Below are 22672 nucleotides of genomic sequence, written 5' to 3'. Positions count from 1 at the left end.
ATTTAATAGCCAAAAATTTATGCCATTAAACTTATTAAATAATACTTTTTTTTTTTTTTTGAGACAGGGTCTTGTTCTGTCATCCAGGCTGGAGTGCAGTGGCACGATCATGCCTCACTGCTCTTGATCTTCGGGGCTCAAGCAATACTCCCACCTCAGCCTCCAAGTACCTGGGACTACTGGCATGCAACACCATGCCGGGCTGATTTTTTTTTTAATTTTTAATAGAATTCAAGTCTCTCTACGTTGCCCAGGCTGGTCTCAAACTCCTGAGCTCAAGCAATCTTCCTGCTTCTGCCTCCCCAAAGCTAGGATTACAGGCATTAGCCACCATGCCTGGCCTCTATAACACTTAGAACTCGGAAAGTATATTTAAAAGATGCCTTATTATCTGAACAAGCATAAAACAATTGAAAGTACTACAACTATTTTGGAAGTTATTGGTAAAACGGAATTTTTCCCTAACAAGACAAAAAAATCCAGCTGAAAAGATAAACTGCTTAGTAAACAAGTGTTTGCAGTGGTGGGGGAGGGATATGGGCGGTGGGTAAAAGTAGTAGGACTGTTTATTTAACCAAACAACAAGAACAAAATAAGAAGATCCTTTCTCATGCTATATAGCTTGATATTAATAGAATATTTTATTAATTCTTAATTATTAATATAATTTTATTAAATTATTTACATTTGATATCTCTCCAAAATCAAATGGAGTCAATCAAATGGAGAATATTTTATTAATTTTATTAATTCTTAATTATTAATATAATTTTATTAAATTCTTTATATCTGATATCTCTCCAAAATCAAATGGAGGCAATTTTCAAAAAATGACACATAATCACTTTAGTAAAACAGAAACAGCAAATGAAATCCAAGAAGAATGAGAATTTAAATATAGTAACTAGTTTGTTAAACTGCTGGGGTTGTCCTTCAAATTTGGGTCTGAGCTTCCTACCAACCAAAGTGAAAGGGAGCTCATTATATATTTCTTACACTGAAGAGGAGAGTAAGACTTTCTAATTCCTAAAAAAAGACATTTTCTGGTTTTAATGAGTGATAAAACTCATTAGCTCAAGCTACAAGAACTGCGAATTCAGAAATTAGATTTTGTTTGCTGTTTCTGTTTTGTTTTGCATTTAGTAGAGGCTAAATGAATGTAATTAAAGTTCTACTGATCCAACTTAATAAAAACTCAAAGTAGTAGAAAGATAACAAGTCATCAAATATAATTTCTCTCAATCAGATACAGGATAAAAGTTGAACAGCATGTAATTTAAAAATAATAACCTTATCTTACAGTCAGAAATATCTATTATTTTCATAGAAGAAGAACCTATTTATTTCTTAGTTTAAAGCTCCTTGAGGGCAATAGTCTTATCTTCTAATTCCTTTGTATTTTTCACTGAGGTATGGTCACAGTGGATATAAATTCACTAATAAAGAAGAAAAAATAAACTTTACCACTGGTGGGTCTTTTTGTTTGTATTTTTGGTGGGCATGGGACATATTTTTACCTTATAACAGTCTCCTCCAGGAATAATTTCCTGAATATATACCAATGGGCCTTCATTCCGGTTAATTCCTCCTAGTACCTTCAGGCCAAGGCCTGTTTCCTTGGCAATTGTAATCATCTGAAAGGCAGGATCCCTAAGATAAAGTAAATTAGCACACACAGGTTAGTCTAGAGATCTGCACCTATTTTTTTCTTTAAACTACTTATTAAATCAAAATCTGAGATCTAGAGCAGCAACCCCTCACCTTTTTTGGTACCAGGGACTTGTTTCATGGAAGACAATTTTTCCAAGGTGGGGGGAGAGGGAATGGGGTTGCAGAGGGGTGATGGTTTCGGGATGATTCAAATGCACTACATTTCTTGTGCACTTTATTATTACATTGTAATATATAATAAAATAATTATACAATTCACAATAATGTAGAATCAGGGGGAGCCCTGAGCTTGTTTTCCTGCAACTAGACAGTCCCATCTGGGGGTGAGGGGAGACAGTGACAGATCACCAGCCACTAGATTCTCAAAAGGAGCACGCAAGCTAGATCCCTCACATGCACAGTTCACAATAGGGTTCATGCTCCTATGAGCATTGAATGCCGCCATTGATCTGACAGGAGGCAGAGCTCAGGCAGTAATGCTTACTTGCCCTAGACTCACCTCCTGCTGTGTCGCCTGATTCCTAACAGACTACGGACCACTACCAGTCTGTGGCCCAGGGATTAGGGACCTCTGATCTAGACAACCCAAAATACTTAGTACTTACTAGCAGTGACATTTTTAAAAAGTATGGTGACATAACAACAATTAAATGAGTTTGCTTGCATATACTTTTAATTTTCCCTACAAAACATCCAAAACACAAAAGAATTTACAATGATAATGCTTATTTCTTTGGAGTAGGACAAAAATGTATTAAAGGCGACGGAAAAGATTTGCTTTTACCTGGTTATTAGACTACTTGAAGAATTCCAAAACTAAATATTTTAAGTAGCTTTAAAAGACATGTCTGTGGCCATTTAAAGCAAAGTAAATATGACTTCCATTTGAATCTCAAATTTTATCTTTTTAATTTAGAAAGAATATTTTCTTGGTAAAAAGTACTTGTTTCAACTGTAATTTCTGTCAGACATAAAAGCAATGCCATTTGAAAAGAAGGGACTGTACAAAACATCCTGCAAAAGGGATATCCAAGTTGCATTTCTGAATACCTGGGTCAGACCAGAGACTTTTACTGGTCAAACAAAACTTGAATTAAGTTTGAAATAAGATTTAGGGCTGCCTGTTTACTAATACTGGGTACTGTGCTAAACAACACCTAAATAATGACATTTAATTTAATATTTATAAAATCCTTAAGATTCTTACCCTTATTTTTTTAAAAGACCCAAAATTCAGATAGGTTAACTTGATGGCCCAAGTGTGAGCCCAGTCAGTCTTACTTCAGAGGCAAAATGTGATATGTAATCTACTTTGTTGTTGTGTTAGAGCCATTGTTGAATATAGGACTTCCAGCTATCTTCAAATACATTGAATAACTGAAACTACTATTAAAAAAAGAAATACTTCTGGCTGGGCATGGTGGCTCATGCCTATAATCCCAGCACTTTGGGAGGCCGAGGCGGGCGGATCACGAGGTCAGGAGATCGAGACCACAGTGAAACCCCGTCTATACTAAAAATACAAAAAATTAGCCAGGCGCGGTGGTGGACGCCTATAGTACCAGCTGCTCAGGAGGCTGAGGCAGGAGAATGGCGTGAACCCGGGAGGCAGAGCTTGCTGTGAGCCAAGATCGTGCCACTGCACTCCAGCCTGGGCAACAGAGCGAGACTCTGTCTCAAAAAGAAAAAGAGTTACTTCATATCTTACATGATTATAGTTTTTAGAAAAAGCTTTCTTAGCTTCTGCCGTAGAAATTCTAAGAATATCTTTAAGAAAACTGTTGCATTCAAAAAAATAATTTCTAAAAAGAAGAAATTTTTTTAAAAAGCACATAGAACTCCGTTTTTGACTATTTTGCTCTCCATATATAACATCATTTAGAGCTGTATCACAGGTATACTGAATTCAGCTCTAATTTGGGAAGGCCTATCTGGTTTCTAGGGCAATAGTCAATCAGCTAGAAAAAAGGCAGAGAGGACAGGGTCCAAGGGTCCAAAATGCACCCTAAATTCATTCTTTTTTTTCTTTTTTTGAGACGGGGTCTTGCTCTGTCCTGGCTGGAGTGCAGTGGCGTGATCTCAGCTTACTGCAACCTCTGCCTCCCAGGTTAAGCGACTTTCCCACCTCAGCCTCCTGAATAGCTGGGATTACAGGTGCGTGCTACCACACCCAGCTAATTTTGAGTATTTTTGGTAGAGACAGGGTTTCACCATGTTGGCCAGGCTGGTCTCGAACTCCTGACCTCAAGTGATCCACCCGCCTCGGCCTCCCAAAGTGCTGAGATTACAGGCATGAGGCACCGCCCCTGGCCAATAAATCCCTTCTTTACAGGATGGTAGATTGCAAAAACATAAACGAGTAAAGCCTAGAAATGAAAGATAAGGTAAGAAAGGGAAGTAAGCTACCTTATTAGATCTCTCCACTAACTCTTAAACCCTCCAAATGTGAATGTCCTTCACTGGGGGCACAAACAATCTCCAGCATATATTATTGTTTCAGTATAGGATCTTACTTTTCTAATCCCAACAAAGTATTATTAACACAGCAGTTTATTGCTGCTAATACGTTTTCTCTATAAATCTATCCATATATTTTCTGAATTAATATCCATATATTTTCTGAATTGCTATCATACTACTTAAACCATTTTAGATCTTGTTTTTCTTCTTACCCAGAATTATTATAAGCAATGTCTATGTTGTTGAAAGTTCTTCTTAAACATAAATTTATATGTTCATAGCAGCATAAAATTTACATACATGACTAGGACCTTATTTTAAAACTCTTATTAAAATTTTAGATTATATACTCTTTTTTCCTATTAAGTATTAAAAATAGTTCTGCTCAACTTTACTCATAATAAGAGAATTACAAGTTAAAACTGCAGAGATACTACTACTCACCTACCAGACCAATAAAAATTTAGAACTTCAACAACATACTCTGATGAAAAAGCTATGGGAAAAGAGGCATTTTTGCACACTGCTGGTGGGAATGCAAAATGGTACAACTTCTAAAGAGATAAATTGGTAACCTCTAACAAAAAAAGACCCTCTGATCCAGCAATTCCATTTCTAGGAATCTATCCCAAAGATACTCTGGCAAAAAATAGAAAATGACTTATATGCTAGGTTATTCATTTTGGCATAATTTGTATTCACCAGAAATTGCAAATGTATTGTTTGCCCATCCATAATATAGTGGCTGAATAAACCATGGTACATCCACACAATAGAATATTATGCAGTTATAACAAAAACAAGGAATATAACAAAAACAAGTTATAACAAAAAACAAGGAAGATTTTTATAAACTGATATGAAGGGATCACCAGGATATACATTAAAACAAAAAGCCAAGGTCAAAACAGTATACATGACACCTTTTACTTAAGAATATTCTGGGGAGTGGAATCCAAATATATATAATTATCATGTGTACATACATATGTGTATATTTATTTTTATATATATGCATTGGCTTAACCAAAAAGAAGCACTACAAAAGGACCAAGAATAAAAACAACTTTTTATAGAGGGAATGAGGGCACACAGTGAAGACTAGAATAACAGCAAGATTTTTTTTAATATGCCTTGTTAAAGGTATGTTTTACGTTTGCAAAATGGCCACCAATTCCTCCCATTCCTGTCTGCATGCATCTTGGTAATGTGACTTTACTGCTTCCTTTCACTAAAAGCAAAGTCTGTATCTCCACTCCTTGAATTTTCATTTGGCTATTTAAATTGCTTTGGCCCATGGGATACCAGCAAATGTGAGGAAACTGGGTATTTGGAAAACACCTGTGCTTCTGCTACCATGTGAAAAGCTTGAGCCAGCCTCCTGAAGAATGACAGACCAGTTCTACAGAGACCTCTGCCATTCAACCTTCCTAGCTGAGGCCTCACAAGATGTAAATGAGGCCATCCTACATTATCTGGTATAGAGCAGAACTGCTCAACCAACCCACTGAATCATGAGAAAAAATAAATGCTTATTGTTTTAAGGGATTTTAGGGTGGTTTGTTAGTCAGCAAGAGTTAATCTATATATTATCAAATTTTTTTAATGGAATTATAAAATATTCTAGATATTAAAAATCAAAATTTAAAAAAGAAATCTCACAAAAGAGTTTTTAAAAATGTATTTGACAATTGTCTATTTTTTATTATTTTTAGAGACAGAGTTTTGCTATGTTGCCCAAGCTGGAGTGCTGTGGCTATTAACAGGTACAATCATAGCATACTACAGCCTCAAACTCCCAACTTCAGGCTATCCTCCTGTCCTAGTCTCCCGAGCAGCTGGGACTACAGGCATGCCCTACCGTGCCTGCACAGATGACTTAAAAGAGAATGCAGATTTTGTTCTATACACTGATTTACATTGAAAGGTAATTCAACGTATTACTTTACTCACTACTCATTGCTGCTATCCTAGACCACATTAGAGAGCTAGATGTAAAAAAACTTTTAATCAAATGTTCATTAATAGTTTACATATTTCAAACTATATTTCAAAACATATTAAACTTAAAAATTACTTTTCAAGTAGACTGGGTGATACTACAGTAGATGTATTTTTATTCATGCTTTCACCAAAGTAGCCTTGGATTTAACAGCTGTATAAATGAAGATCTTGATGAAGAGTCTAGAAATTCTTCTTTTCCTAGGATTGAAGAAGTAGAAAATAAATTGTCAGGTCTTAGAACTGTCAAATTTGATTCCAACTGTTCATAAAAACATTATATACACTTGGAACATAAATAATATAAGCCTGTATATAGATGTTAGATGTATTGTATGTATTTTGTGTTATGGCATTTTATCATTGACAATAACATCCGAGAAGTGTAAAGACAGCTCATTAGATAGATAAGTCTATGTCTATATCATTATGAATATCCATATCTATATAACATCTTCATTTTCTGGCAAAAGTGAACATACAGCTAAGCTTTAGGTAACTATTACAACTTCCACCCTTGGTAAGCTTAAAAATCACATAATAGTTAAAGATTAAGGAAAATGTCTCCTGTGAGTACAAGGCTACGAAGCTTATAGTCAGAAAAATAATTATGCAATGCATTTGAAAAAAACTAAATTCTTATTATCTTACCAACTATCTTGAGACACTTCCTGCAGATCCTATATTACTCTGACTAATATTATTCCAGGAACTTCTTAAATGGCTTTCCTATGAAGAGAAAAAAATATGCTTTTAATGTCTTATATTGTTCCACTGTGAAAATTACAGAGAATAGTGGTGTCATTTAATTAAAACAAACTGTATTTGAACAGAGATTTACCACCTTTTCATAAGAACAATGAATGAAGCAAAGGAACTTAAAGTTGAAAAAGACACTAGGATCATTTAGTACAACTCTCTTCCTGAAGAAATGAGGAGCTAGATTCAGAGACTGTGTGGTTTTCCCTCACAAATGAAAAATAGTGTTTTTGTTGTTGTTGTTGTTGTTGTTTTTCTTCTCCTAACTAGAACTCAGGTTATAGTCTACAGGATGGACCTTGAGATCTGATAGGCCTGGGTTCTCATTTGAAATTTTGGGCTTCTCCAAGCCTCAGTTTCTACAGAGGTACAGTAGGTGCCTTGATTGTGGCGATGATTTCACAAATGGATACATGTCAAATGTAACAAACTGTCTCACTTTAAATATCTGCTGTTTGTTGTAAATCAATTATAGCTTAATAAAGTTAAACTTTTAAAAAACCCGATTTTCAGTTAAAAATGGCATCTTGACCTTGGCACATATATTCTTTCCCTCCCAAGAGCCAACTAATATGAAAGTCTTAGGGTAAAGAGTTACAAACAGTACAAACTCAGAATGTTGAAGAGTAAATGGGAAAAGAGCCATTGGATGAAAATTTTGAACAAGTTTTTGGAAGATAAAAAAAAGATGGTTGGGTGATAATTGGTAAAAGAGGGGTGAAGAAGCTGAAATTTAGGGCAGTGCTTCTTAAACATTTTTTAAGTCTGAGCACACACATAATGGTAATATTTGTATGGCATACTAAGGTAAAGAAAGCTGATATCCTCTGAAAAGCTGAGGAGAATCAATATATCAGCACATCAGCAACTGATTCACAACAAAATTCTGGCCTAGGAAACAGGTGCAGGAGGAACATATCTTAAAGAATCCCAGAGAAACTGGCCGGGTGCGGTGGTTCACGCCTGTAATCCTAGTACTTTGGGTGGCCGAGGCGGGTGGATCACGAGGTCAGGAGATCGAGACCATCCTGGCTAACACGGTGAAATCTCGTCTCTACTAAAAATACAAAAAAAATTAGCCGGGCGTGGTGGCAGCGCCTGTAGTCCCAGCTACTCGGGAGGCTGAGGCAGGAGAATGGCGTGAACCTGGGAGGCGGAGCTTGCAGTGAGCCAAGACCGTGCCACTGCACTCCAGCCTGGGCGACAGAGCCAGACTCCGTCTCAAAAAAAAAAAAAAAAAAAAAGAAAAAAGAAAAAGAGAGTCCCAGAGAAATTGAAGACTCAGAAACAAAAAGTTCTAGGGAGAACAAAACTGAGAGATTAAAGACTAAAATCAAGAGGATCATCCTATCTTTTCTTCAACCACTGTATGCAGAAGAAATCATAGATTCTTCCGTAAATTAACTGAATGGGCCCCAAACACAGAGCCAACTACTTTTGAGACCCTAACATAGCAATGTATTCACTGGTCTGGGTGGTAAAAACACATTTCGACTTTCACGCCCTCTGTAGTAGCAAGCAACAGGAACAGTGGAAGCATGCAGATCAACAGCAGCCAGAAAAATGAAGCCACCAAGCCACAATGTCAGTAGCAAAAGTCCAATGACCATGAAGTAAGAAAGTTATTCAGTACCCATGAGGAAAAGAAGGGCCACCTGAGGGAGGAGCTTAAAATCCTTGGGCTTTGACTAGTAGTCTCTCAGAGTCAAGAGCCACTGCAGCTGTCCACAAGACTGATATAGTCATGGAAGAGAGTTCAATTCTAAAACTAAGTTTGCATAAGTTCATTATAGACTGCTTTAATGATACACGCATGGAGCAGATTCTCAAACCTCAAGAGAGGTCATTCTCAAATAATAACAATAATAGCAACTACCATTAATTGGCACTATGTTTCACACACTATGTATTCCAAATGTATTTATTTAATATTGTGGAAAATGTACTAGACATAAGTAAAAAAAAAAGAAAAGAAATGCAGAGTTCAAATGGCAATACTGCCATGGGCTAGTAATATGGCATTAGAAAAATTGCCTAACCTCTTAGCATCTCCTCCTATTAAGTAAGGTAAGAATAGTAACACCTTGCTCAAAAGCAGATGTGAAAAACTGAGCAGTCTTTCTACTGGTACCAAAGTGAGTAAGATCCTCATCTTTGGTGAGTTGTTCTAACTGGACACAGGTCCCCAGGTCCCCTGGGAACATATTCAAGCCTAATGATGTATAAATGCTACTCTACAATAGATTCCATATAATATACTTAACAAGACATTTTAAAACATTTCTATTTTAAGGTTTAAAATAAAATTTAGGTGTTTATTCCATTCACTTAACATGCTGGCAGTGTCCTAAGTGCCAAAGATGAGATGAGATCAGGAGGGGTGAAGTGCTCTGACAGCAGTATACACAGGGAGTATGGAGAAAGGCTGCGTAACCTGGGATCTAAGTCATCATTAAACACGAATACAGCCAGGCACCATGTTACAGGATTTTCTTCCCACAGGAGCCCCACAAGGGAGGTATTATTAACCCAATTTTATACAAAAGAAAAATAAGTCATACAGAAAGTATGTGGCTTGTCCATTGTCACAGGCTAGTTGTAAAGTAGAGTTTGAACCCTGCTCTTTCTTGCTCCAAACCCAAGCTGTTTGTTTCTACTACAGTATGCTGGAAAATTAATTCAGGTAAAAAGTTTGATTCACCAAAAAAGTGGAATGAGAGAGTAAGGAGTGGTAATGTGTTATCTCTTTTATATAAAGATGACACTATTGATTAAACAGAAGTGGGTTTAATCTTATCCATCCCAACAGTGGTATTCATTGTCATGTCCTTAAATATCATAAAATGCCTGTCCTTTCCCTCTCCTTTGCCTGCTTCCTACTCTCTCTTTATACAAACTTGCAAGGCCCTCAGCCAACAGGGATTCCAGTAATGTTACATACACATACTCACCACACTCACACACACACACACACACACACACACACACAAACCACCCTCAAGTTCCCATAATTAATAAATAACACAGAAGGAAAACATTCTGTTCTTTTACTAAAAATATGAACATTGAAGACAAATATATTGTTATTCTAGTTTGGTGAATCATAAGAGGCAAACAGGTCAGCAAAAACAGAGAAAGTGGAACATTGGAGAAAAAAAATCTTGTTGTTAAAGATGAATCTATTCCAGAAAACTTAAATTAGAGCTTTTCTTTGATAAGTCTGTTTACTTATGATCTCATTAAAACAATCTTCATCCCATGTAATTAGAAATCTCATCAGATTAAAAAAATCTGTCCATAACGCATATGGTGTTTGAGTAAGACTTAGTAATTTATATTCTCAGACATGGTATTCAATAAAACCAGTTCTTTTCACTGGACAAAAAATAGAGAAAATAAAAGGGATAAAAATATCTTCTGCCAGAAATTATAGTAAATATTAATTTAATGAAATTACAAAAATGCCATAATGAAATTGATACAAATTGCCAAATGTCCCTCAGTCAGGGTTGTACTAATTTACTATCTCACCAACTATAGTGCCTGTTACTCTAAATTTTCTCCACTATGGTATACTAAATAACGTTTGGATTTTTGCCAGTTTTATTGATGAAAATGGTATCTCAAGGTAGTTGGAGTGAGGCAGAAGAGTTTTTTTATGCTTTAAGAACCATTCAGTATCTTCTTTTATGTGAACTGTGTTTTTTTTACATCTTTTGCCAATTCTTCTATTTATCGTTAGGTCTTTCTCTGTTCAGTTTCTAGGAGTTCTTAAATATTACAGAAATTATCTCTCTATCAGCATTAAGAATTGCAAATATATTTTCCCCCCTTTTCTTCTGGGTTATGGGCTTTTTGTTACACAAAAGTTTGTGGCTAACTTATGAATCTTTTATGATTTCCAGGTTTTAGGTCAAATTAGAAACTCCTTGCCCACTCCAAAGTTATAAAGAATTCTCTCATATTTTCTTCCAGTACTCTTATGGTTTCATTTTTAAATATTTGATCCATTTGGAATCCATCATAATATAAAGCACAGATCCAACTCATATTTTTCCCAAGAAGACCACCCCATTGTCTCAACTACATTTATTAAATCTTTTCCCCACCATTTTGAGATACAACTTTCATCATATACAAAATCTCTTAAGTGTTTGGGTCTACTTCTGTAATTTTTATTCTGGCCCTTTGGTTAGGTTGTTTATTTGTACACCAATGCCATTCTATTTTAATTACAGAGGCACTATCATATCTAGTAAGGCCGATCATCTCTCATTTGTTCTTTTGTTAACCAAGTTTCCCTGGTTGTTTTTGGTTGTTTATTTTTACACATTAAATTCAAAGTATTCTTATCTTGTTTAAAAAACAAAACAATGCTATTTGTAAGGGAATCACACTAAATTTACAAATAATTGAAGAAGTATTGTTATCTATGATGTTATTTTGAGTCTTCCTATCCAGGAATTTGGTATCACTTTCTATTTGTTCAAATCTTCTTTTGTGAACTTCTATAGCAGGGGTGGCCAATCTTTTGGCTTCCCCAGGTCACATTGGAGGAAGAATTGTCTTAGGCCACACATGAAATACACTAACACTAATATTGACTAATGAGCTTAAAAACAAATCATCAACAACAACAAAAAAAAAACGCAAAAAAATCTCATGTTTTAAGAAAGTTTACGAAATTGTGTTGGAACACATTTAAAGTTGTCCTGGGCCACATGCAGCCCATGGGCCACAGATGGGACAAGCCTGTTTCTACTGTGTTTTAAAGTTGCCTTCACAGTGACCTTGTGAGGCAGGAGAATAGGGTCTGGAGGCAGGGAGCCTAAGGCTGATTGGTGCTGACTTCCTAGAACTGAATCAAAAGGAAAACCCTACCTCTCCACAAAAGGATGAGAGGCTACTCCCTTTGCACTGCATGGCAGATGAAAAATGGAAAGTACTTCTGATTAGCTGCAGGCCACTCCTTCATTTACATAGGGTGTAACCAAGGAAACGATGGAAAACCTCTAGAGGAAATTTAAACCCCAGAATATTCTGTAACCAGCGCTCTTGAGCCACTTGCTGCAGCCTGCTTCCACTCTGTGGAGAGTACTTTCATTTCAGTAAATCTGTGCTTTCATTGTTTCATTCTTTCCTTGCTTTGTTTGTGCATTTTGTCCAAATCTTTGTTCAAATTGCCAAGAACCTGGACGACTTGTAGTCAAGACCCTGCACTGGTAACAGCTGCACATTTCTTATTTAGTTAATTCCTAGGTATTATTTTTTTTTATTGTTAATTTAATGCCTTTTAAAAATCCACTATTTTGTAAATAACAAAAAATATTTTGGGAAAGCTTTAAGTGTTTCATCTTCTAGAAAATAATTTCCCTCCCACCCCAAATTCTGCTTGATTATATGATTATATGTCTTCATTTAAAAATGTTACTAATAAAGCAGTGGAAGAAAAAACCAGGCACAATTCATACGTGTTATATTTTTGTTAAAAATTATGTAATTGTAATATATTGGTTTACATACAATTGCATTTTACTTAACAACACACACACAGACACCTGTCACAAACAAATAAGTAGATGATTTATTAAGCTGTCATTGCAAAGTCTAAAATAATACATCTAGAATAGACCTATAAAGGCTTTGTAAGCAAAAGCCTAATTCCCATCCTTCCTTGCCAGAGTACTTTTATATTTACTTTGAAGTATTTAATGAGCTGTGAGGTCAAGAGCTCTAATGTCTTTTTAGTTGTTTGTCTAAAGTGAAATGATCACCAGAAGGAAAGGGAAGGACAGTATGATACCAGTGAAGGCAAGATTTGTTGCTTTAATACTAAGTCCAAATAGTCTCTTCATAATAATGTTAAAAAGCTCATAAGAAAAGTGCTTTGTCAGAAGCTATTGGCCATCTAGAGGTCTCTAAAGATACACTAAATTATCTTGATAAAATGGGGATTTTCAGACAAGATCTGGCATGTTCAGGGTGGTATGGCTGTAGACTGATTGGAGAATTTCAGTTCATATTGAGTATGAGGGCTTATGCGTATATTGTTAGTGAGGGAATAAAAGAAAAGAAAGGGGCTAAAGGAGGCTTTTTCTTAGCAGAGAGCACTGTTAGCTTTTCCAGGGGCATAAAGGAGAGATTTAATTGCTTTCTTGGGTTCACACACTATATAAAGTAACCAGATTCCTGATAGAGCAATAAGGACACATAGGGCACTCCTTGATTTTATGTTCAAAAAGGAAGATGTGGCTGGGGTCAGAAGTATCTAAAAATGCTAGGTAGGTATGGTTTGTAAAATATCCCTTAAAAGTGAAAATTCAGCACATTTAATAAACAATTATGAACAATAAAGAAAAAGAGGGTTAGAAAAAGTGAGAGAACAAAAACATTTTGAGGGGCACCTGGGGAAATGGGATATCAGCAATGGGGGAAAATCCAAATCCAGGGTTTGTCTACCAAAGGCAGGATACCAGTTCATTTTAATACTTTGTGGTTGGCAAGGAGTGATTCAGCAAACACACAGAAGTATCTGTTAGTTCATAAGTATCATTACAGAATAGTTAGTAATTATAAAATATCAGAAACCTCAAAAATATGTAAAAATTGATAACTGGTTAAATAATTTACAGTATAATCATGTAAAACAATACTATGTAATCATCAAAAATGGTCTAGGTAAAAAACAACAGCAAGGTAAAAACAGAATGTGTAGAATAATTTCATCTTTTAAAATTACATTTATTAAAAATATAAAATGTAAACAATAACTGACACTTGGAACTACTATTTTTATTTACTGTTATTTTTATTTCCTTCTTTAAGTTATTCTTTATTTTTTGAATGGCTTACAACAAGGATATATACTTTGATATATTATTTGGATAAAGAAGGAAAAATATCAAAAAAGTTACCATGTTCCAGTGTACCTTCTTGGCATCTAAATATCAGCTCTTTCTAATTATGTCTCCTTTAATGTCATTTTACCCTTTATGTTATTTTCTTCTTTCATCTTCATTTGCTAAGGTATCAACAAATGTTGCAATTTAAAAGAGAAAATAACATAGATCTGGTGTTTCACAAAGAAATTCAGCTACATCCTTTAAATAACTTCTTATGACAACTCCTTTGTAAGCAAATTGACAGGCAGTAGAAATAAATACACTTATTTTCTGCTATAATTTAAAAAGAAAGATGACTCATAGCAAAGAAGCTCATAGTACATATTACATAGTACATATATTTCATGTTTTTTTTATTGCATTGGGAAGAGTACCAGTCCAGAGGGTAGATGCCCACTAGACATATGACTTTGAGCAGCCACTTACTCTGCTCCCTAGTCTTCATATGTACGATGTCAAAATCATTCATAAAATGATCTTTAAAGGTTCTTTCTTGGCTCTACAAATCAAAAATTTTATGGCAGGCTTATTAAACTACAAGTCTCCCAATGTTTTTTGAGGGAACGATTTTCTTTTTAAAATATACGTCCACCTCTAAGATCAGTATGACCCATGAATGGGATGGGGTAGGCTGCAGTTGGTCATTTGGGAGGGATTAGAGTGGAGGGAAAAGTGTACTAGTGTAGTGACATTTCACATTAAGGTCATTTCAAAAGAGGAAGAGGGCACAATGATGTTGGCTGCTCAGTAAATAATCTGTCTGGTTTCTGTGGACTGACAAGTTAGAAATGCCTACTATTTATTTATTCACTAAAGCTAATATTAAAAATGTAAATATTTCTTCCTATAAAGTTGGATGTATTATACTTGAGGAGACACAAAAATGACAGCATTTAGAAACTGGTAACTTGTTTTATACCTTATCACAGCAGAGATTCCTCAAGATAACATCAGCTATTTATATAATCCTAAGGTTGTTTAAGAAAATTGGCAAAATCAGGAATGACTATTTTCCCTGGGCTAAACTTAACTGATCATTTTTAAATGACATGAAAGTTTCAGGAAACCAATATATAAAAGATCAAAGAGTTATAGTCATCCCTCAGTATTTTCAGGGAACTTGTTCCAGGACACTGCAGATACCAAAATTAGAAGATATTCAAGTCCCTGATATAAAATGGTGTAGTATTTGCACATAACCTATGCATATCCTCTCCTATATTTTAAATCATCCCTAGATTACTTATAATACAAAACACAATGTAAATATGTTATGCTATATTATTTAGGGCATGATGACAAGAAAAAGTGTGTACATGTTCAGTAAAGACACAGCCATTGTAGGCCTAATGTTCATTTTCAATCTGTGATTGGTTGAACCTGTGTATGTGGAACCTGCGGATACTGATGGCCAACTGTATTTTATTATCTTTTATTCTGTACCCAAAGGCAATATTCTGTTTACTAGTGCATGTTTTTTTCTTTCAAGAATCTAACGAGTTCAGAAATGCTACTCATTTGTCTTGGGGGTGTTACCAAAATGCCAGGGGTTCGGTTTAGGTCCTGTTGCTCACTACACAGAAAACCAATCACTGAAAGGAGTATTGCCAGGGAAGAAGGCTTTAACTGGGTGCCGCAGCCAAGGAGATGGGAAATTTGTATCCCTCTCCCTGACGAGCTAAAATTAGGGGCTTATATGGCAGGGAAAAAATGTAAGTATGTGTGGGAAAACAGGAATTAGGGAGGGGTAAGGAAGAGGAGTTGGTCAACAGGTAGCAAGTGATTGGTTAGGCCAGCAGTCCCCAACCTTTTTGGTACCAGGGACCAGTTTTGTGGAAGACAATTTTTCCACGCATGGGGGTGTGGGGGATGGTTTCCAGATGAAACTGTTCCACCTTAGATCATCAGGCATTAGATTCTCATAAGGAGCATGCAACCTAGACCACTCATATGCCTAATTCATAATAGGGTTCTCACTCCTGGGAGAATCTAATGCTGCCACTGATCTGACAGGAGGTAGAGCTCAGGTGGTAATGCCCACTTGCCCTCCACTCACCTCCTGCCGTCTGGCCGGGTTCCTAACAGGCCATGGACGGCTACTAGTCTGCAGCCTAAGGACTGGGTACCCCTGGGTAAGGCAGTCATGATGGCTGAAGGGTCTGGTATCATATTGTCCAGATGCAATGATCTGGTAAGTTTCAGTTTCTTGATAGTATCTGGGAGGCCTGATGGTTGGTTTCCTGAGAAAGTAACTCAGATAAGACAAATTTAACTTTCTCAAGTTTTAACAATGGGAGAATCAATTTCTGTGCTTATTCAAAGAAATGATTAATATCAGTTCTATGGGACAATTGGTCCTATTTCAGGATGCATAAGCATCTGCCTGTAACACACAGCCCAACTCAGTGGGAAACATCAGAAAACTACTTCAAAGAAAGTCTTAGTCTTCTTGAAAGGAGTCTTCATCAGCACAACAGCTCACTGCTCTCAGAAGTTTCCTTAGGCTACCGGACTGCCTTCTGTTTGCTTTCATTCATGCATTCATCCACCAAATTTTTAACTCAGTACAATTATGTGCAGGTACAACACTAAGGGCATGTGATATTATGGTGAACAAGTCAAGATCATTGCTCTTTTGGTATTTACATTCTAGTGGTGGGAGAAAAACAATAAAAAAAAGATACAATTAAATGAACTAGATTTCAGATATTGAAAGGTGATAGCAAATGTGACTAAGGAGAGAAGGGCTAATTTAGACTGGGGAGGGTGTCCCAGCTAAGATCCAAATAATAAGTCATCTGTGAAAAAAGCTGAGGGACAAAGCATTCCAGGCAGAGAAAAGGTCTGAGGGCAGTAAAACAAACTTGAGGTGTTTAAAGAAAAGAAAGAAGTGCAACTGGAGTGTGGTGAACAGGGAGAGAGTGGTAGGAGATAAGGTTAGAGAAGTAGGCAGGGTCTGGATTTCCTAGGGTCTTATGGGCTATGGTAGCAAGTTTGGAGTTTTGATCATATTTCACTTAACCTGACTATTCTCAGGAGACCTGAATTTGCCTTTCCCTTTATCTCTTACCTTTAACCTTCTAAAGGTTAAAAGTAAAGGCTCTAAAGGCTCTCCACTTTTGTACTTTCCCTAGTTTTCTGCCTTTGCCTTTAATCACATAATTAAATCACGTAATTAGACTGTGCTTTGGCCTGAATCATGTGAGACTGTCTGTCAGTGCATTTGAGATATAATATTGTGCCTATATCTGTATCTGCATCTCTATCTATATTTATATCTATTTACATCTTGACCAGGACTGGCTGCATAAATTGCAGGGCCCAATACAAAATGAAAATGCAAGGCCCCATGTTAAATAATTATTAAGAATTTTTAGCAGGGCATGGTGGTATGCGCCTGTAATCCCAGCTACTACTCAGGAGGCTGAGGCAGGAAGATCACTTGAACCTGGGAGGCAGAGGTTGCAGTGAGCCGAGATCATGCCATTGCACTCCAGCCTGGGTGACAGAGTGAGACTCCGTCTCAAAAACAAAAAATAATTTCAAGATGCTGACAGTAGAGCATTAAACAAACACAGGGCTTATCTAAGTGGGGTAGGAATCAGGACTTGGAACGAACCTGAGGATCAGCTAAAAAGTTCCTGGATAGAAGCCTTTCCAGAAGACATGGCCACCAGTGTGCCACATCAGTTTACTATCGCCATGGCAACATACAGATCTTACCACCCCTTTCCATGGCAATGACCCTATGAACTGGAAATTACCACACTCATCCTAGAAATTTCTGCATAAACTGTCCCTTAATTTGCATATAATTAAAAGCGGGTATAACTATGAGTTTGCAAAACTGCCTCTAAGCTGCTATTCTGGGCAGAGTGCCTATGGGGTAGCCCCTTTCTGCAAGAAGCAGTCTCTCTGCTGCTTACTGTACAATGCCACTTCAATAAAAGTTGCTGTTTAACACCACCAGCTTGCCCTGGAATTCTTTTCTAGGCCAAGCCAAGAACCCTCCTGGGCTAAGCCCCAATTTGGGGGCTTGCATGTCCTACATCATAAGTGAGGGGCCCTTTTAAGAGTAGGGCCTTGTGTGACTGCACAGGTCATATTTTCATGAAGCTGGCCCTGATCTTGATAAACATTACTTGAATTAATAAATGCCTTCTATTGATAAATGATTTCTGTTTTCCTTTCACATTATCTGTCAATCATATAAACTTAATCAAGAGCTTTTAAACGGAGTAGTTCCTCAAAAAGATGGCACAGAGGCCACTGCCAGAAAATAAGAAACTAGGGTATCAAAACTGACTGAGACGACTTCAGGGCATTATTGTGCACTAATTGGAAAACAATGATTACCCTGCCTTTTCTTAAGCAAACACCATATATTTGTACTTACTATTTATTCAAATACATTATTCTTATTCTTTTAGATACAAGTATTGTGATAAAAATAGCTACCAAATAAACAGTTGTGAGTATTGTCAGAATTATTGTTAGGTATTTCACATCGTTAAATGGATTCAGGAGCTTTATCAGGAAAACCACTAGAAAATACAGTTCAGTGACGACCACCATATTAAGACTGAAGTCCCAATTTCCTTAACTTATGTTATGGATTAAAAATACCAAAATTTAAAATAATACATCTTTATAATCCATAGAAAGCCTAAAAATCAATAATCAGATAAGAAAACATTATGTGAATATCAAAATGGCTTATATGAAAAATAACTTATATAACTTACTTTACCTAATATATAAAATTGGACATGATTATAGCTAACCAGAAAGAGTTTACAAGGTTTAACGTTTATTGCTGAAGAATAATGTTGCAAATTAAAGGTGTCAAATCTGAAATGTCAGTCCAGCTCTTGATATTTAAAATGTGTAATTAACACCTCTACCTACAAAACAGGGTTGGATTAGCCCTGCCCTGAGGAGCTCTCATTCCATTCATGGTATAATCCATTATTTGGCATTAGTTATCGTAACAATTTATGTATTATTACAAGCACACTCAGACTCACAAAAATTGCAGCCCAGGCTTATGCATTCATTTAAAGCTTTAGAGAAAAAAATATTCATTTCAGCATCTCCCAATGTTGTATTGTTATTGTATCTATGCATATTGACAGACCTTTCATCATCATAAGAACTCCTTGTATCCAGGTTATAACCTCGGTCTCTGACCCCAATCCTACTATGCTCAACTCTGTCTAAGCTGTTTGTTCTAGCTTAGAAATAACTTCAAATATGCCATCTTACAAATAGGCATCTAACCACGTTAATGATGATTTTTACCTGAGACAAAAGTAAAGAAATATTTCCTAATATAGAAAAGAAAGGCTTCAGTGTTTTTGTTGTTGTTTTGTTGTCATCCGTTGCAAAGCTGCTTTCTACAAGACGCAGTAAAAATAGCAAGTTGTAAGGAGTCAGAAAAAATCCAGGCTTAAACTCCAGCTCTGCCACTACCCAACCGATTAGGCTTGGACAAGTTAACTCATCATTCTAAGCCTGCTTCCCCTATCCATGCGCTGAGCTTGGGAAAAGGGTAGGTGAAAGGGCCTATGTGTCTAGAACCAAACTTCCTAACTGGCCTTTCCTCCTTCCTCCTACCCTTTCTAAAATGTCTGGAGCTGAACTTCCTAAATACACTTTTCTCTTTCTTTCTTCCTCGTCACTTTTGTCTTGCTGAGTGTTTGGATGGTGTCCAGTGGGCAGCATATTTAATACTCAGCTTTGGGCTGACATACCAGGCAGAGATGAATTCACTTTTCTAGGGCCAAGCTTTCAGCCACAGTAATTTGCTTACATATGGGGGGAATTGAGCAAGTAAGTACATACACTGAAGATAAAGGTAGCCAGATTTCCTGCTGTTGAACACACATATGCACACTTGTTTATACACAAAAATTTTCTAGGGTCTCTGCTGAGAGAGGCTAGTAATGAACACTTCTAGTGCTCAGAGTTTTTTCTAAATGCCACTTTCCACTAAAGAAACCAAAATTCGTGGCAGAGAAGGCTGATTCCAAGGCAGGTCAGGAAAATACAAGATAAGCATGGCACATTGTAGTGCCAGAAAATAAGGAAGTGATGAAAGAATGATGGAAACATGTCATAAAGGGGCTTCTATTGGCTAAGTCTAAGAAAATTTGAAATCAGAATTAAAAAATAATAGTAATAAATTGATTAAAATTTGAAGTCATGAGTCTATATTGATGTAAACGAATAAACAAGAAATATATGGTATAGCAAGGAAAACCCTACCTTACAGTAAAATGCCAACTAATAAATCTAGAAGGACTGATAACATTAGAAAATTGTCATTTGGCATCCATCACAGTGATAACAGATTCAAACAAGAAGCATCAATGGAGAAATCTGGCAGGAGAAAATATGATGAGAAACAGAATATTTACAGTCTCAAAGCTTCTCCCTACAAAACACAAAGATTCTCCCCACAAAACACACATTGCCTATTAATTTATGAATGTGACATATTTGCTAATTCACCTTGTAACAGAGAAACCTGGCAGACCCAATCTTAAAGAAACAGAAGTTAACATCATGAAACCACGGAATAAATTGAGATCATGTGATGCCTAAGAGGACTCACTGATTGAAGCACAGCATCTCCTCTAAGATATTCCTGTCAAGGGGTCACAAACATGAGGAAACATCAGACAGACCTATATTGAGGCACATTTAATCACGTAACCAGCCTGTATTCCTCAAAAATGTCAAAGTCATGAAAGATAAGGCTGGGTGCGGTGGCTCATGCCTGTAATCCCAGCACTATGGGAGACCAAGACCACCTAAGGCCAGGAGTTTGAAACCAGCCTGAGCAACCCAGCAAGATCTTGTCTCTCAAAAATAAAAATAAAAATAAAAATAAAAAAGGAAAGAAAAAGACAAGAAAAGACTGGCAACTATTCCAGATTGAAGAAGACTGAAGAGGCATGACAACTAAAATCAACGAGTAATCCTGGATTAAATCCTAGATCTAAAATGGAAATGATTGGGACAAATGGGGTAATTTATGTAGAGTCCATGAATAACATGATGTAAAGAATTTAATATATATCCCCCAAAATCCATATGTTGAAGCCCTAACCCCTCAATGTAGCTGTATTTGGATTAGGAAGTAATTATGGTTGAATGAGGTCATAAGGGTGGGAACCTGATCTCATGGGATTGGTGTCCTTATAAGAGACATAAGAGCTCATTTACTCCAATCTATGTAAGGCCACAGCAAGATGGTAGATGTCACAAGCCAGGGAGACCCCTCACCAGGAAGTGAATCAGTTGATACATTGATCTTTGACTTTCCAGCCTTCAGCACTTTGAGAAACAAGTATTTCTGTTGTTTAAGCAACCAGTCTGTGGTATTTTGCTATTGGTAGTCCAAGCTGACTACATATGGTAATACTGGATAAATATTAACTTACTGATTTTGATGCCTGCTCTGTGGTTTGGAAGGAGAAAGTGTTCTTGTAATAGGAAATAAACAAGTAAGTATGCAGATAAAGACTGAAGAATCTTTATCATTCTCTAATCTTGGTGAAGGGTATACAAGAAATTTGAGTACTATTATGTTGCAGAAATATTTTAAATTGTTTAATATGTTTGTTAATTGGACATTGAACTAAATTATGTTCTACACATTTCATTCAAAATATAAGTAAAAAACCAAAATATTTAGTTGTCATTCAGAAGTATTTCATAAACATGAACTGTCATTTCACATTATCATACTAAGATCAGATACAATGCATATTTTCTTTTATTAAAGTAGAAAGCTACAAAGACCAACACCACTTCATTGCTATCAATATCACTGTACATAAGAGTTTCATTTTGCAATTATTATACAAAAAATGAAATACTGGAGTCCAAGACAAAGACTGTATACTGACATATATTTATACTGCTACCTGGAGCTACAAAGAAGGGGTGCCTGGAGAAACAGAATGGTGAGTGGAAATGTACTGTTGGTATCAAGGATTTCAGTCTATGCTGTAAGAAAATTAAACTTTGAGAAATCTCATCCTAGAAGAGCTGAGAATCTGGTACAAGAACCAAGGTGCATGCAGATGAAAAAGATTTTCAAACACTGTCATCACACAATATGAATAAATTTGTAGAATCATGGAGACCTGAAATTTTTGAGACAGTATGCCAGAGTATAGAAAGAAGTCAGAAGGTATTTATATTTTATTGGTTCTGCAATTTTCTGGCCCTGTGACCACAAGTTAATCAATTACTCACTCAAGGTGACCATCATCACTCATGTGGACTACTGCAATTGCTTCCTAATTGTTCTACTTCCATTCCTCCCCCTACCTTTAATCCATTCTCCACAAAGTAATCAATATCTTTTCAAAAATGTGAGTCAGATCACATCACTTGTATGTGTCAAACATTCCAATAGCTTCCTATTACTTTTAGAATAAAATCCAAACCCTTGGACATGGCTTAAAAGGCTGGTATTACCAGGCCTTTGTTACCTGTTCTGACCCCATTTCCTACCACTTTCCACTCTGCTATGTTGGGAACACAGTGGCCTTCTTTCTGTTCTTCAATCATTCTATCTCTTTCCTTCCCCTGGGCCTTTGCTTGGCCTGGAATTGTTATTGAGTAGGTAGCTCCTTATCATCGTTCAGATCTAAACTCAAATGTCACCTCTTCAAAACGTCCTTACTTTACTACCGCTTCTCATGACTGTCAATCATACTATGTTATTACATTGTCTTCACTGCACTGATTGTTATCTGAAATTCCCTTATTTCGGTAACTGTTACTTGATTATTTTCTGAGTCCCTCAGCAGAAAGGACACTCCATCACTGAAGTGATCTCCCGACTTGTTCTGTGCTATAGT

The 22672-nt window shown here is 36.4% G+C and overlaps 1 protein-coding gene across 15 annotated transcripts in view; it reads right to left on the bottom strand.

The window, feature by feature from the left end:
• The window catches only part of STXBP4 (syntaxin binding protein 4), a 244509-nt gene that overhangs the window by 220799 nt on the left and 1038 nt on the right, over positions 1-22672 (bottom strand). For 14 of the 15 annotated variants that reach the window (XR_007065289.1, XM_047435714.1, XM_017024410.2 and 11 more), the window contains exons 2-4: positions 6784-6861; positions 6209-6333; positions 1518-1650 (exon numbers count right to left, since the gene is read on the bottom strand). Coding sequence is in view for 13 of the 15 variants with exons in the window: in XM_047435714.1 (XP_047291670.1) it covers positions 1518-1650; positions 6209-6255 (180 nt within the window). In the remaining 2 variants the exon portion in view is untranslated. Of the gene's footprint in view, positions 1-1517; positions 1651-6208; positions 6334-6783; positions 6862-22672 lie in introns of those variants that run through there. The other variant, XM_017024413.2, reaches the window with a different exon arrangement.

This window comes from Homo sapiens, chromosome 17 (genome assembly GCF_000001405.40).
Source record: "Homo sapiens chromosome 17, GRCh38.p14 Primary Assembly".
NCBI lineage: Eukaryota > Metazoa > Chordata > Mammalia > Primates > Hominidae > Homo > Homo sapiens.
This window is presented reverse-complemented; position numbering and strand designations above follow the sequence as displayed.